The 14990-nt window shown below is 44.6% G+C and overlaps 1 protein-coding gene across 2 annotated transcripts, besides 1 other annotated feature; it reads right to left on the bottom strand.

Moving 5' to 3' along the window:
* Window positions 1-273: 273 nt before the first annotated feature.
* Window positions 274-7375, bottom strand: GSTM3 (glutathione S-transferase mu 3). Of its 2 annotated transcripts, NM_000849.5 has the most exons (9): window positions 7290-7375; window positions 6577-6848; window positions 6170-6245; window positions 5766-5830; window positions 4622-4703; window positions 4428-4528; window positions 3993-4088; window positions 3794-3904; window positions 274-3506 (listed from the first exon to the last, which is right to left on the bottom strand). In NM_000849.5, the coding sequence occupies exons 2-9, from the start codon at window positions 6622-6624 to the stop codon at window positions 3408-3410; spliced, it is 678 nt and encodes a 225-aa protein (NP_000840.2). In that variant the 5' UTR covers window positions 6625-6848; window positions 7290-7375; the 3' UTR covers window positions 274-3407. The 2 variants fall into 2 exon arrangements, 1 of the variants encoding a protein (NP_000840.2); NR_024537.2 differs by lacking the exon at window positions 6170-6245.
* Window positions 6585-6814: a silencer, noted in NCBI's record as "silent region_1158". NCBI's record gives its function as "represses an Ori minimal core promoter by ATAC-STARR-seq in GM12878 lymphoblastoid cells {active_cell/tissue: GM12878}" and the evidence as "EXISTENCE:reporter gene assay evidence [ECO:0000049][PMID:35858748]".
* Window positions 7376-14990: the final 7615 nt, after the last annotated feature.

Here is a 14990-nt window from a genome sequence, read left to right on the forward strand (position 1 = left end):
TGGAGGCAGATCCTTCTCCCACTGAGCCTGGGGATGAGATCAGAGCTCTGGATGACACACTGATGGCAGTTTTCAGATGAAACCCTGAGCAGAGGACCCAGTTCAGCTGTGCCCAGACTCCTAATCCACAAAACTTTGAGACCATAAACATGTATTGTTTTAGCTGCTAAATTTGTGGGAATAGTGTAGAAGTCTTCTTTTGCCCCTGGAGTATGGCAAGGTTCAGGCTATTGTCCCATGACCACGAAAAATTAGGCACATGGACATGGAGAGTGAGTAGGGCAGAGTAGAATTTATTGGGAAAAAGGAAAGCTCTCAGCAAAGACAGGGGTCTTGAAAGCAGGTTGCCAGTAAGGCGTCTGTGTTCTGTGTCTTTTATGTGGCAGAAGCTGGGAAGTCTTCTGTGGGTTTTGCCCAGATGAGAGAAGTAACATTTTCTTCTTGGGGTACTACAGCTGTGCATGCCTAAGTTTTGCCAAAGGGACTCCATCTTGGTTATTACCCATGAGTGCCTAAGCAAAACCCATGGGGGTGCTAAAACCACAATGCTAATGTCATGTTTAATGACATTATAATGAGCTGGGTTAAATTAGGGACATTTAGGCTGATTTATTGTGCCCGCACCAAAGTTGGGATGGTCACTTCTGAGCAACATCCTAGCTTAAGGGTAACTTCTTCCGTTTTTCCTATTAACTGTAGAGGCAGTATAGGCACTGTCTTGCCGTTGTTCTTGTGAACATAGTTCCTTTCTATCCCTTCTCCTGAGACCTTCCCTCTCTATGTGCCTATCCATCCCTTAACTACCTCCTCTCTTAACAGTGTTACACAGCAATAAATAATGCATTCCCTTTTTGATTTCTGGTCATATCATCGATCTAGCCCCAGGGGCATCCTCAATTTCTCTGTCCTGCCTTAAATACACAAGGGTAGAGCATACCGCTCCCTCACACTATGGAAATTATATCAATAGTTATCAGACTGAAAAACTTCTGAGCTTTATACCTCTTCTGGCCAAAGGCTCCCCCATGCCCAAGATACTGGCCTGAACACCTAATCCCTGCTCACAGGGGGTGGCAAAACATGGCAGTTGAATTGTCTGCTTAGCACCTTCTGTCTGTACTATTCCTCCTGACATCACTGGGTATCCCTGCCATTTGGGCCCTCTGACCATCACTAGAGAGATCCTTGGCTTCTGGTCCATAGGGGATGGCAATCTGGCCCACAGGCCTATCTCTGAAGACTATTCAGACTCTGCTCTGTGAAAGGAGAGTGGTGCCAAGTCATCTCCACAGGAGTCAGTGTTTCTTAAGTTTGCTTTCTTTTCTAAAAACTAGTTTCTACTACACAAGCAATGCATGAGCACATTCTCTTAGTTAGAAAAGCAAGTCTTAGCCTTAACTTGGAAATGCCCTTTAACTTCCACCATGGAGTCTGGGCCTTTATCCCACTTGCCTGCAGTAAGACTGTTATGAGTTTGGTGTTTCCCTCCAGACTCTTCTCTATGCTTGGAGATCTTTTTTATTTTTTTAAGAGACAGGGTCTTGCTCAGTCACCCAGATTGGAGTGCAGTGGCAAGAACACAGCTCACTGCAGCTTCAAATTCCTGGGCTCAAGTGATCCTCCCACCTCAGCCTCCTGGGTAGCTGGGACTATGCATGAGCAATTGCGCACAGCTAATTAAAAAAAATTTTTGGGAGACAGGGGTCTCACTATGTTGCCCAGGCTGGTCTTAAACTCCTGGCCTCAACTGATCCTCTCACCTCAGCCTCTGAAGGTGTTGTTATTACAGCTGTGAGCAACCACACCTGGCCTGTTTTGGGGATCTTTGCATGTTAGTTCACACAGTTCAGTCTCATTCTTCCGTTGCCACATGGTACTCCATAGTATTGACAGGTATTTACACGGTTTCCACTTATTTGTCATTACAGACAATGCCACAGTGAACATCTTAGTATATGTCTCTTTGAATGTTTTTTTTTTTTTTTTTTTTTTTTTTTTGAGACAGAGTCTCGCCCTGTAGCCAGGCTGGAGTGCAGTGGCGTGATCTCGGCTCACTGCAACCTCTGCCTCCCAGGTTCAAGCAATTCTCCTGCCTCAGCCTCCTGAGTAGCTGGGACTATAGGCACATGCCACCATGCCCAGCTAATTTTTGTATTTTTAGTAGAAACGGGGTTTCATCATGTTGGCCAGGATGGTCTCGATCTCTTGACCTCGTGATCTGCCCACCTCAGCCTCCCAAAGTGCTGGGATTACAGGCGTGAGCCACCAAGCCCGGCCATGGATGAGTTTTTATAGCATGGAATTGCTGGGTCATAGGATATGATTTAAATTTTACAATTGTCCTCCAAAGTAGCTATACTAATTTACAACTTGACCAGCAGGAAATGCATATCACTTTCCTAAGCCTTGCCAACACTTTAGAAACTTTTTACTCATCGGATAGAAGGAAATATGGTTTCTCACTGTTGTAATTGATAATTCCTTACATCATAAACATCTTTTAGACATTTTTGGCTATATTTCTATTTTATAAATTGTTCATGGATTTTGTCCATTTTTAAAAACTCAGTTGTCTTAATGATTTATAGGTCTTTATATAATCTTTATACTAGTGCTTTTTGTCTCACTTGTCATTTATTTGTGGGTGCCTTAGGAAAAGTTGTAGAATTTGATCCTATTCAATTGGCAAATCTTTCCTTTGTGATTGTTATTATTTTAAAAAGTAAAAGAATAAAGAATGGCTACTCCACAGGCAGAGCAGCCTATGGTTTTTTTCTTTTTACGTCTTTAAAGAAACTTCTCCTACCCCGTGGTCACAAAAATTCTTACATTTTCATCAATATTTCAACAGCTTTGTGTTTAATGTTGGGCCTTAAATTCCAGATTAATTTTAGTGAATAGTGTCAAGTGGGGCTCTATTATTTTTAATGAGTAAGCAATTGTCCCAACTCTATTGGCTAGCCCACCAGTCTGAAATACTGCCTTTATCACACTAAACTCCCATGTGTACACAGGACGGTTTCCGAACTCCGGTTAAGTCCATCAGTACCACAGTTTTACTTGTGTTATCCTCACCCAGTCTTCACAGGGACTCCAGTCCCATTTAACACACCTGCTCTCTCCAACTGTGCAATCTCGTTTTTTCTAGTACCCACTCTCAGGGCTTGGGCATGAACCTACAGCCCTTGAACTCAGTTGGGGAGTAGGGAAATGCCAGTATCGCAGCGATTCAATTCATATCTTGATGATTCTCCACATATCCTTTTTCCCTTTTAGCCTTTATACCCAAGAGAAACTCAGCTGGACACCAGTAACATAAGTGCTATTCATTGAAAAGAGCAAAGCAAGAGCGCTGACCCCTTACGGACAGGATGAAACAAAACAAGCTCTGCAAGTCTGCCTCCTGCTCAGCATACAGGCTTGTTGCCCCACTGGGCCATCTTGTTGTTGATGGGCATCTTGCAGAACTGATCAGACTGTAAGTAGGCAGCGATTTTCTCCAAAGCCTGAAAGGAAAATACACCAAATCTTATAACGACCCCAACCCAGTCCAACAGATGCATACCAGAACAGCAACATTCACGTGTTGCCTGCGTCTACCTCCTCCATTTTTTTGTAGACAGTGCCTCCAAGGTATAGAAGTTAGGCTCTTCCCAAGACTTAAAGGTCTAGAGGTGTCCAACCATTGATCCCATTAGGCAAAAGCCGGGGAAGAATCCTCCACTATGGGATCCTGCAGGTCCCAGGGGAGCCTGTGAGTGTTTTTATAAGAGAAAGGTGCAGGAAACGTCACCTCAAAACGGCACATGAAAGCCTTCAGGTTTGGGAACTCATCCAGGCACTTGGGGTCAAATATACGGTTCTGATCCAAGATATCATAGGTGAGAAAATCCACAAAGGTGAGCTAGAAGAAAAGCAATAAGATGCTTAGGTCTGAGGAGTAGTAGCCTGCAGAGATAGAGAAGTATCCTCTTCTTTTCCCTTCTTCCTACCTTTTCCCCGGCAAACCATGAGAATTTCCCCAGAAACATGGAGAATTGTTTCAGTTGTCCAGGTAGCTCTTCCAAGTACTGAGGCTTCAGTTTTTCCTGAGAGGAAAAAACAGAATGAGAATAGTGGTGATCATCTTTGTAGTTAATCAGGGCACAGGCCAGTGATGGACACTTAGTAGCCCCTTCTCTAGGTGGGTTCTCATTGCCTTCACTTGAGGATGGCAGGGTGGGGAAAGAGGAGTTTAGAAAGAAGAGGCACCAGCACCAGAATTACATGACAAAACAAACCAAAAAATATAAGTTCTGTTTCTTATTCTAACAATCTGGATTGGTGGGAAGGTAGCAGCAGCAGAATGGAACAGAGATAACCCTTGGGTTCCTAAATACCCCTTTTTCTGATACTCCATTCAGCAGATGTGTGCTAAGGAAACTCACGTGGTCAGAGCTGTAACAGAGCCTTATCAGTTGTGTGCGGAAATCCATTACTTGGTTCTCTATGATGTCCACTCGAATCTTTTCTTCTTCAGTCTCACCACCTGTAGGCCAAATGACAACAAATCACCCTTGGCATCATCCACTCTCAGACAAACTACCAGCCTGGGGTCCCTCACCAGCCCTACCCCACTCACACATGTTGTGCTTGCGAGCGATGTAGCGCAAGATGGCATTGCTCTGGGTGATCTTGTTCTTCCCATCCAGGAGGTAGGGCAGCTGAAAGGAAAAGGACAGGACAAATGAACAACCTGCCTCTCTCTTGATTCCCTACCTCTCTCTCCAGGGGAAAAGAACACTTGCAGGGCAGTGAACAAGAGTGAGAAGATGCTGTGTTAGGAGAAAAAAGAAAATAAGTAGAAGGTAGCAACTGGGTCCACAAGATTCTAGACAGGGGTTCTTAAATTGGTGTGTGTATGTGTGAGTGTATGTGCATGCCATGGACCTTTTCTCAGAATAAAGTTGTTAAATGCATGAAGCAAAATAGATAATTTACACAATCAAAAAATATTTTTAAAAATTCAAATAAGAGTAACATGTGCCTATTAGTGCATTAAATAGCAAGCAGATGTAATGACTAACATAATCTCAAAGTAAATAACATTATATGTATATATTTACTTACATGTATATAAATATCACTTAAAATATCTGCAACGCATGTTATAGAATATGAAACTACCTGATTTCAGGCTGGGCACAGTGGCTCATGCCTGTAATCCCAACACTTTGGAAGGCCGAGGTGGGAGGACTGTTTGAGCCCAGAAGTTCAGGATCAGCCTGGGTAACATGGCAAAACCCCGTCTCTTACAAAAATACAAAAATTAGCTGGGCATAGTGGTGTGTGCCTGTAGTCCCAGCTCCTTGGGAGGCTGAGGTGGGAGGACTGCTTGAGCCTGGGAGGTTGAGGCTGCAGTGAGCTGTGATTGCGCCACTGCACTCCAGCCTGAGCGACAGAGTGAGACACTGTCTCAAAACAAAAGAACAAGAAACACACAAAAAAGAAAATACCTGATTTCTACTAGTGACAAAGTGACAGACATGGCTAATAACCAATGTCACTTATTGTCTCTCTTCACAATAAAAGGAAATAACTTTTGCTAGTGGTTAATGGGAATGAAAATACATATCCATCCAGTTCAAGGACCCCTGAATTCTATTTATTCTATCCGGGTTAAGATCCCCTATTTTGCATCCTTCTGTACCAGGCAGGAGAGAGGCAAGGATGGATATACTTGAAGGCTTTCCCTTCTGCCCGCCACCTCTACTAAAGCCACTTACATTAGGAAAGTCCAGGTCTAGCTTGAATTTCACATCCAGCCATTGGCTTCGATCATAGTCAGGAGCTGTAAGAGACGGAATTAAGTGGGACCCAACCTCCTTAATACCCCACCTGACAAGAGCAAAAGATCTAAAGAAATGACTTGGTCCCAATACCTCAAATTCCCAGGCCCCAAAAGCATAACCATTGAGCCTCTGAGCCCTATTTGGTTAAGCATTAAGACGGGTTTGGGCTATGTTAAAAAGAGAACCCCCAGTTCCAGATAAAGGATGTGTCTCTATTCACCCAGATTGGGGCAAACGTCCCACCCGGCCTTGGCGCGACGCCACCACCCTCTGGGCGTAAGAAGACCAGGGCAGGTGGAGGGCCAGCTTGGCTGCACGGGCACGCGGAGCGGCATTACCTTCCCCGCACGTGTACCGTTTCTCCTCATAAGAGGTATCCGTGAACTCCAGGAGCAGGCGGATGGCGTGCGCCAGCTGGGGAAGACAGCGGTTCAGCGACTGCGCAGCTCCCACCCATTCCCAACCCCCGCCCGCTAACGTTCCCCGGCCCGGGGCTGCCGAGTCCCTGCGTCCTGCCGGGGCGGTGGTTAAGCGGCCCCTAGGCCCGGCTCCGGCGTGGTCTCCTCCGCCCCTCCCCACAGGGCCCGCGATCCCAGAGGCTGGGCAGGGGTCGACATCCGTGGCTCGGCAGCTCGAAAAGGCTCCCGCGTAGAGCTGCTCCTGCTGGAGATCGCGGACCCAGAGACCCGCCCTCTCCGCGTCAGTCTCTTTGACCGAGCGGCTCTACCGTTGAGACGGCACTCACCCCACGAATATCCCAGTACCCGAGAACCATAGACGACTCGCACGACATGGTGACGGGCTTCCGAGCCTTCGAGGACTAGGGAAACTGTGAGCGGGAGGGGCTTTATACCCGACATAAGGGGGCGGGGCCCACGCGCGGGCGCCCTGACTCCGCCTCCGCCCCGTTCTCCGTCCCTTGCCTCCGCGGCTCCACAGGGCCGTGCGCAGGCGCGACTAATGCCGGCGTTGGGGTTCAGGGCCTGGCGACCCCGAGGCGGGACCCGGGCAGGAGTGCTGCAGGAGAGCAAAGGACCCGAGGTTGAGGCTCCTCCCTTCCCCGCGGGTGGGAGCCAGACTTCATTCATTAATGGTGCCAGTGAAGACGCGAAAAGCACCACTAGCCAGGCAGTGGGGACCCTAGTTACCCAGGGAGAGCGAGATTCGCGCCGTTTTTACCGAGCCAGCCGGGGCTGGATGAAGGATAGGAAGACTGGGGCAAGGCCGGAGAGTCAGACCAGCCTCTGACCACACAGAGCAGAAGATTCCCCACAGACCAAGCTCCCCTCTCTGTCAGTCAAGGACCTCTGCAACCTGACCCCAACGTGCTTTTCCAGTCCTGTCTCTCCCTCAGCCCGTCACAACTTCATAAGCCAGCCCAACCCAACAATACTTGCTGTTCCTTCTACACACACTTGCATTTCCCACCTTGGAGTGTTTGCTCTGTGATCCTCCTACCTGCATCCTAATTTCCACAGCCTATCCTTCCTCAGCAGCCTTGCTGAAATGTCTGCCTATTCCTTGAAGCCTTCTCAGAACCAACCTCTATCCTGGCCAGAAGAGGTCTCTTATCTTGAATGTTTCCTACCTTTGTTTTATGGGCTTAAGTAATTTATGGATTCCTTATTATAATTTCCTCCTCCAATCCCTCCCACTTCCTAATGCTCACGCATTTAGGGAAATTAATCTTGCCTCTTTGTGTAGGATGGACTGGAGGAGGAAAGGTACTACCATTTTTCATTCACTCATTCATCTGTCCAACAATGTTTAACATGCCTGTTATGGACAGGCACTGTTTTAGGTGCTGGGGATACAGAACTGAACTCAACAGACAAAATCCCTGCCCTCAGGAAGTTTACATTCTAATGGGGAAGAAATAAACTAATATATAGTAAATAGCTAGTAAGTCAGGTGGTGATACACATCCTATGGAGAGAAATAAAATCGAGAAGAGAGATAGGGGGTCTCAGGGTGGGAACTGGGGGAGTCCCAGTAGGAAGGGGATTTATGTTTTTAAAGGTTATGTTCATAGAAGGCCTCATGGAGAAGTTAATCTTTAAACAAAGACCTGAAGGAGGTGAGAGATCAAGCCACTCTGCTGTGGGGGCCACCATGGGCTGATATAAATATAAAACAGAATAATTGCTGTTCCTTTTACAAGCATGTTTGCTCTGCTCCTGCCTGCACCCTAATGTCCATGGCCTAGCCTTCCTCAAGTAGCCGTGCTCAAATGCTCACTTCTTCCTTGAAGCCTTCTCAGAATCACCCTCTATCCTGGCCAGAAGAGTTCTCTCCCTCTCTTATCTCGAATCACTTCCTACCTGCAGGAGGCAGAGAGAACTCCAGGAAAAGGGAAACAGCAAGTACAGGAGTGATCACTCTGTGTTTGAAACCAGAGACTAGATGAGATCACCATGGGAGCACGAGTAGCAGAGATGAGGTCTAAGGGTTTGAGGTGCTCTGGCATATCAACATGTAAAGGTTAGGGAAAAATGAGAGCAAACCAGCAAAGGAGTCTGAAAAGGAGTGGCCAGGGAGGTAGGAGGAAAACAAAAGGTCCCAGAAGCCATGTGAAGATGTTTAAAGGGAGAAGTGATCAACTATGTCAAGTGTGGCTGATCAAGTAAGATGAAGATGGAGAATCAATGGTTGAATTTAGGAAAGTAGGGGTTTTGACCTTGACAGAGCAAGAGACCTGCCCGAGGCCCCTATAGTCATGGGAAGAACTAAGCTTCTGAATTTCGGCAGGGCCCATGCAAATGAAAAGGGGCACAGATTTGCAACAGGGTCAACTCGGGAGACATAGGATTCTAGTTGAATGTGGAGGAGTGACAGAGGAAGGAGTCCGGAGCTGCTCTGAGGGTTCTGGCCAGGCCTCTGCAGCACAGCTCTCAGGGCAGTCTGAGAGCCTAGATCCCCTAGCTCAGGTGTGGGAAATCACATTTGCCCATCAGTTCAACTGAAGCAAGGTTGGGACTTTTTAAAAGGGCATTTTGCTAAACAGAAGAAAGGAAGAGTACAAACCACATGGACAGGTGAAATTTATAATGCCTGTGTCTCTCCTCCCAAGAAAGCAAAAGGCCAGTCACAAATTCACCTGAGGTATAAGATTAACATTTATTGAGCACCTATCATATGCCAGGCAATATCTAAGTGTTTACGTATGTTAGCTAATTTATTCCAATTTAAGCTTCACAACAACTTTAGGAAGTAGGTGTTATGCCCATTTTCTTTTCTTTTTCTTTTTTTTTTTTTGCAGTTTTTGCATTACTTTCTTTTTTTTAAATTTTATTATTATTACACTTTAAGTTTCAGGGTATATGTGCACAATGTGCAGGTTTGTTACATATGTATACATGTGCCATGTTGGTGTGCTGCACCCATTAACTCCTCATTTAACACTAGGTATATCTCCTAATGCTATCCCTCCCCCCTCCCCCCACCCCACAACAGTCCCTGGAGTGTGATGTTCCCCTTCCTGTGTCCATGTGTTCTCATTGTTCAGTTCCCACCTATGAGTGAGAACATGCGGTGTTTGGTTTTTTGTCCTTGCGATAGTTTGCTGAGAATGATGGTTTCCAGTTTCATCCATGTCCCTACAAAGGACATGAACTCATCATTTTTTATGGCTGGATAGTATTCCATGGTGTATATGTGCCATGTTTTCTTAATCCAGTCTATCGTTGTTGGACATTTGGGTTGGTTCCAAGTCTTTGCTATTGTGAATAGTGCCGCAATAAACATACGTGTGCATGTGTCTTTATAGCAGCATGATTTATAATCCTTTGGGTATATACCCAGTAATGGGATGGCTGGGTCAAATGGTATTTCTAGTTCTAGATCCCTGAGGAATCGCCACACTGACTTCCACAATGTTGAACTAGTTTACAGTCCCACCAAAAGTGTAAAAGTGTTCCTATTTCTCCACATCCTCTCCAGCACCTCGTTTCCTGACTTTTTAATGATTGCCATTCTAACTGGTGTGAGATGGTAACTCATTGTGGTTTTGATTTGCATTTCTCTGATGGCCAGTGATGGTGAGCATTTTTTCATGTGTTTTTTGGCTGCATAAATGTCTTCTTTTGAGAAGTGTCTGTTCATATCCTTTGCCCACTTTTTGATGGGGTTGTTTGTTTTTTTCTTGTAAATTTGTTTGAGTTCATTGTAGATTCTGGATATTAGCCCTTTGTCAGATGAGTAGGTTGTGAAAATTTTCTCCCATTTTGTAGGTTGCGTGTTCACTCTGATGGTAGTTTCTTTTGCTGTGGAGAAGCTCTTTAGTTTAATTAGATCCCATTTGTCAATTTTGGCTTTTGTTGCCATTGCTTTTGGTGTTTTAGACATGAAGTCTTTGCCCATGCCTATGTCCAGAATGGTATTGCCTAGGTTTTCTTCTAGGGTTTTTATGGTTTTAGGTCTAACATGTAAGTCTTTAATCCATCTTGAATTAATTTTTGTATAAGGTGTAAGGAAGGGATCCAGTTTCAGCTTTCTACATATGGCTAGCCAGTTTTCCCAGTACCATTTATTAAATAGGGAATCCTTTCCCCATTGCTTGTTTTTGTCAGGTTTGTCAAAGATCAGATGGTTGTACATATGTGGCATTATTTCTGAGGGCTCTGTTCTGTTCCATTGATCTATATCTCTGTTTTGGTACCAGTACCATGCTGCTTTGGTTACTGTAGCCTTGTAGTATAGTTTGAAGTCAGGTAGCATGATGCCTCTGGCGTTGTTCTTTTGGCTTAGGATTGACTTGGCAATGCGGGCTCTTTTTTGGTTCCATATGAACTTTAAAGTAGTTTTTTCCAATTCTGTGAAGAAAGTCATTGGTAGCTTGATGGGGATGGCATTGAATCTGTAAATTACCTTGGGCAGTATGGCCATTTTCATGATATTGATTCTTCCTACCCATGAGCATGGAATGTTCTTCCATTTGTTTGTATCCTCTTTTATTTCCTTGAGCAGTGGTTTGTAGTTCTCCTTGAAGAGGTCCTTCACATCCCTTGTAAGTTGGATTCCTAGGTATTTTATTCTCTTTGAAGCAATTGTGAATGGGAGTTCACTCATGATTTGGCTCTCTGTTTGTCTGTTATTGGTGTATAAGAATGCTTGTGATTTTTGTACATTGATGTTGTATCCTGAGACTTTGCTGAAGTTGCTTATCAGCTTAAGGAGATTTTGGGCTGAGACAATGGGGTTTTCTAGATATACAATCATGTCATCTGCAAACAGGGACAATTTGACTTCCTCTTTTCCTAATTGAATACCCTTCATTTCCTTCTCCTGCCTAATTGCCCTGGCCAGAACTTCCAACACTATGTTGAATAGGAGCGGTGAGAGAGGGCATCCCTGTCTTGTGCCAGTTTTCAAAGGGAATGCTTCCAGTTTTTGCCCATTCAGTATGATATTGGCTGTGGGTTTGTCATAGATAGCTCTTATTATTTTGAGATACGTCCCATGAATACCTAATTTATTGAGAGTTTTTAGCATGAAGTGTTGTTGAATTTTGTTAGAGGCTGTTTCTGCATCTATTGAGATAATCATTTGGTTTTTGTCTTTGGTTCTGTTTATATGCTGGGTTACATTTATTGATTTGCGAATGTTGAACCAACCTTGCATCCCAGGGATGAAGCCCACTTGATCATGGTGGATAAGCTTTTTGATGTGCTGCTGGATTCTGTTTGCCAGTATTTTATTGAGGATTTTTGCATCAATGTTCATCAAGGATATTGGTCTAAAATTCTCTTTTTTGGTTGTGTCTCTGCCCGGCTTTGGTATCAGGATGATGCTGGCCTCATAAAATGAGTTAGGGAGGATTCCCTCTTTTTCTATTGATTGGAATAGTTTCAGAAGGAATGGTGCCAGCTCCTCCTTGTACCTCTGGTAGAATTCGGCTGTGAATGCATCTGGTCCTGGACTTTTTTTGACTGGTAAGCTATTGATCGTTGCCACAATTTCAGAGCCTGTCATTGGTCTATTCAGAGATTCAACTTCTTCCTGGTTTAGTCTTGGGAGGGTGTATGTGTCGAGGAATTTATCCATTTCTTCTAGATTTTCTAGTTTATTTGCGTAGAGGTGTTTGTAGTATTCTCTGATGGTAGTTTGTATTTCTGTGGGATCAGTGGTGATATCCCCTTTATCATTTTTTATTGCGTCTATTTGATTCTTCTCTCTTTTCTTCTTTATTAGTCTTGCTAGCGGTCTATCAATTTTGTTGATCTTTTAAAAAAAACCAGCTCCTGGATTCATTAATTTTTTGAAGGGTTTTTTGTGTCTCTATTTCCTTCAGTTCTGCTCTGATTTTAGTTATTTCTTGCCTTCTGCTAGCTTTTGAATGTGTTTGCTCTTGCTTTTCTAGTTCTTTTAATTGTGATGTTAGGGTGTCAATTTTGGATCTTTCCTGCTTTCTCTTGTGGGCATTTAGTGCTATAAATTTCCCTCTACACACTGCTTTGAATGTGTCCCAGAGATTCTGGTATGTCGTGTCTTTGTTCTCGTTGGTTTCAAAGAACATCTTTATTTCTGCCTTCATTTCATTATGTACCCAGTAGTCATTCAGGAGCAGGTTGTTCAGTTTCCATGTAGTTGAGCGGTTTTGAGTGAGTTTCTTAATCCTGAGTTCTAGTTTGGTTGCACTGTGGTCTGAGAGACAGTTTGTTATAATTTCTGTTCTTTTACATTTGCTGAGGAGTGCTTTACTTCCAACTATGTGGTCAATTTTGGAATAGGTGTGGTGTGGTGCTGAAAAAAATGTATATTCTGTTGATTTGGGGTGGAGAGTTCTGTAGATGTCTATTAGGTCCACTTGGTGCAGAGCTGAGTTCAATTCCTGGGTATCCTTGTTAACTTTCTGTCTCGTTGATCTGTCTAATGTTGACAGTGGGGTGTTAAAGTCTCCCATTATTATTGTGTGGGAGTCTAAGTCTCTTTGTAGGTCACTCAAGACTTGCTTTATGATCTGGGTGCTCCTGTATTGGGTGCATTTATATTTAGGATAGTTAGCTCTTCTTGTTGAATTGATCCCTTTACCATTATGTAATGGCCTTCTTTGTCTCTTTTGATCTTTGTTGGTTTAAAGTCTGTTTTATCAGAGACTAGGATTGCAACCCCTGCCTTTTTTTGTTTTCCATTTGCTTGGTAGATCTTCCTCCATCCCTTTGTTTTGAGCCTATGTGTGTCTCTGCATGTAAGATGGGTTTCCTGAATACAGCACACTGATGGGTCTTGACTCTTTATCCAATTTGCCAGTCTGTGTCTTTTAATTGGAGCATTTAGCCCATTTACATTTAAAGTTGATATTGTTATGTGTGAATTTGGTCCTGTCATTATGATGTTAGCTGGTTATTTTGCTCGTTAGTTGATGCAGTTTCCTCCTAGACTTGATGGTCTTTACATTTTGGCATGTTTTTGCAGTGGCTGGAACCGGTTGTTCCTTTCCATGTTTAGCGCTTCCTTCAGGAGCTCTTTTAGGGCAGGCCTGGTGGTGACAAAATCTCTCAGCATTTGCTTGTCTGTAAAGTATTTTATTTCTCCTTCACTTATGAAGCTTAGTTTGGCTGGATATGAAATTCTGGGTTGAAAATTCTTTTCTTTAAGAATGTTGAATGTTGGCCCCCACTCTCTTCTGGCTTGTAGAGTTTCTGCGGAGAGATCCGCTGTTAGTCTGATGGGCTTCCCTTTGTGGGTAACCCGACCTTTCTCTCTGGCTGCCCTTAACATTTTTTCCTTCATTTCAACTTTGGTGAATCTGACAATTATGTGTCTTGGAGTTGCTCTTCTCGAGGAGTATCTTTGTGGCATTCTCTGTATTTCCTGAATCTGAATGTTGGCCTGCCTTGCTAGATTGGGGAAGTTCTCCTGGATAACATCCTGCAGAGTGTTTTCCAACTTGGTTCCATTCTCCCCCTCACTTTCAGGTACACTAATCAGACGTAGATTTGGTCTTTTCACATAGTCCCATATTTCTTGGAGGCTTTGTTCGTTTCTTTTTATTCTTTTTTCTCTAAACTTTCCTTCTCGCTTCATTTCATTCATTTCATCTTCCATCGCTGATACCCTTTCTTCCAGTTGATCGCATCGGCTCCTGAGGCTTCTGCATTCTTCACGTAGTTCTCGAGCCTTAGCTTTCAGCTCCATCAGCCCCTTTTAGGACTTCTCTGCATTGGTTATTCTAGTTATCCATTCATCTAATTTTTTTTCAAAGTTTCTAACTTCTTTGCCATTGGTTTGAATTTCCTCCTGTAGCTCGGAGTAGTTTGATCGTCTGAAGCCTTCTTCTCTCAACTCGTCAAAGTCATTGTCCGTCCAGCTTTGTTCCGTTGCTGGTGAGGAGCTGCGTTCCTTTGGAGGAGGAGTGGTGCTCTGCTTTTTAGAGTTTCCAGTTTTTCAGCTCTGTTTTTTCCCTATCTTTGTGGTTTTATCTACTTTTGGTCTTTGATGGTGGTGACGTACAGATGGGTTTTTGGTGTGGATGTCCTTTCTGTTTGTTAGTTTTCCTTCTAACAGACAGGACCCTCAGCTGCAGGTCTGTTGGAGTTTGCTAGAGGTCCACTCCAGACCCTCTTTGCCTGGGTGTCAGCAGCAGTGGCTGCAGAAGAGCGGTAGCTGTAGAACAGCGGATTTTGGCCACCCACAAATGCTGCTGCCTGATCGTTCCTCTGGAAGTTCTGTTTCAGAGGAGTACCCGGCCGTGTGAGGTGTCAGTCTGTCCCTACTGGGGGGTGCCTCCCAGTTAGGCTGCTCAGGGGTCAGGGACCCACTTGAGGAGGCAGTCTGCCCGTTCTCAGATCTCCAGCTGCGTGCTGGGAGAACCACTACTCTCCTCAAAGCTGTCAGACAGGGACATTTAAGTCTGCAGAGGTTACTGCTGTCTTTTTGTTTGTCTGTGCCCTGCCCCCAGAGGTGGAGCCTACAGAGGCAGGCAGGCCTCCTTGAGCTGTGGTGGGCTCTACCCAGTTCGAGCTTCCCGCCTGCTTTGTTTACCTAATCAAGCCTGGGCAATGGCAGGCGCCCCTCCCCAAGCCTGGCTGCCGCCTTGCAGTTTGATGTCAGACCGCTGTGCTAGCAATCAGTGAGACTCTGTGGGCGTAGAACCCTCTGAGCCAGGTGTGGGATATAATCTCCTGGTGTGCCGTTTTTTAAGCCCGTTGGAAAAGCGCA

This window comes from Homo sapiens, chromosome 1 (genome assembly GCF_000001405.40).
Source record: "Homo sapiens chromosome 1, GRCh38.p14 Primary Assembly".
Taxonomy (NCBI): domain Eukaryota; kingdom Metazoa; phylum Chordata; class Mammalia; order Primates; family Hominidae; genus Homo; species Homo sapiens.

Bases quoted from the DNA above. Each gene is read 5' to 3' on its own strand.
- GSTM3 (NM_000849.5), bottom strand. From the start codon at position 6,624: ATGTCGTGCGAGTCGTCTATGGTTCTCGGGTACTGGGATATTCGTGGG. The intron at 6,246-6,576 runs GTGAGTGCCGTC...TGTCTTCCCCAG, and splicing joins GGTACTGGGATATTCGTGGG to CTGGCGCACGCCATCCGCCT. The intron at 3,905-3,992 runs GTAGGAAGAAGG...CTTTTCTTCTAG, and splicing joins CATGGTTTGCCGGGGAAAAG to CTCACCTTTGTGGATTTTCT.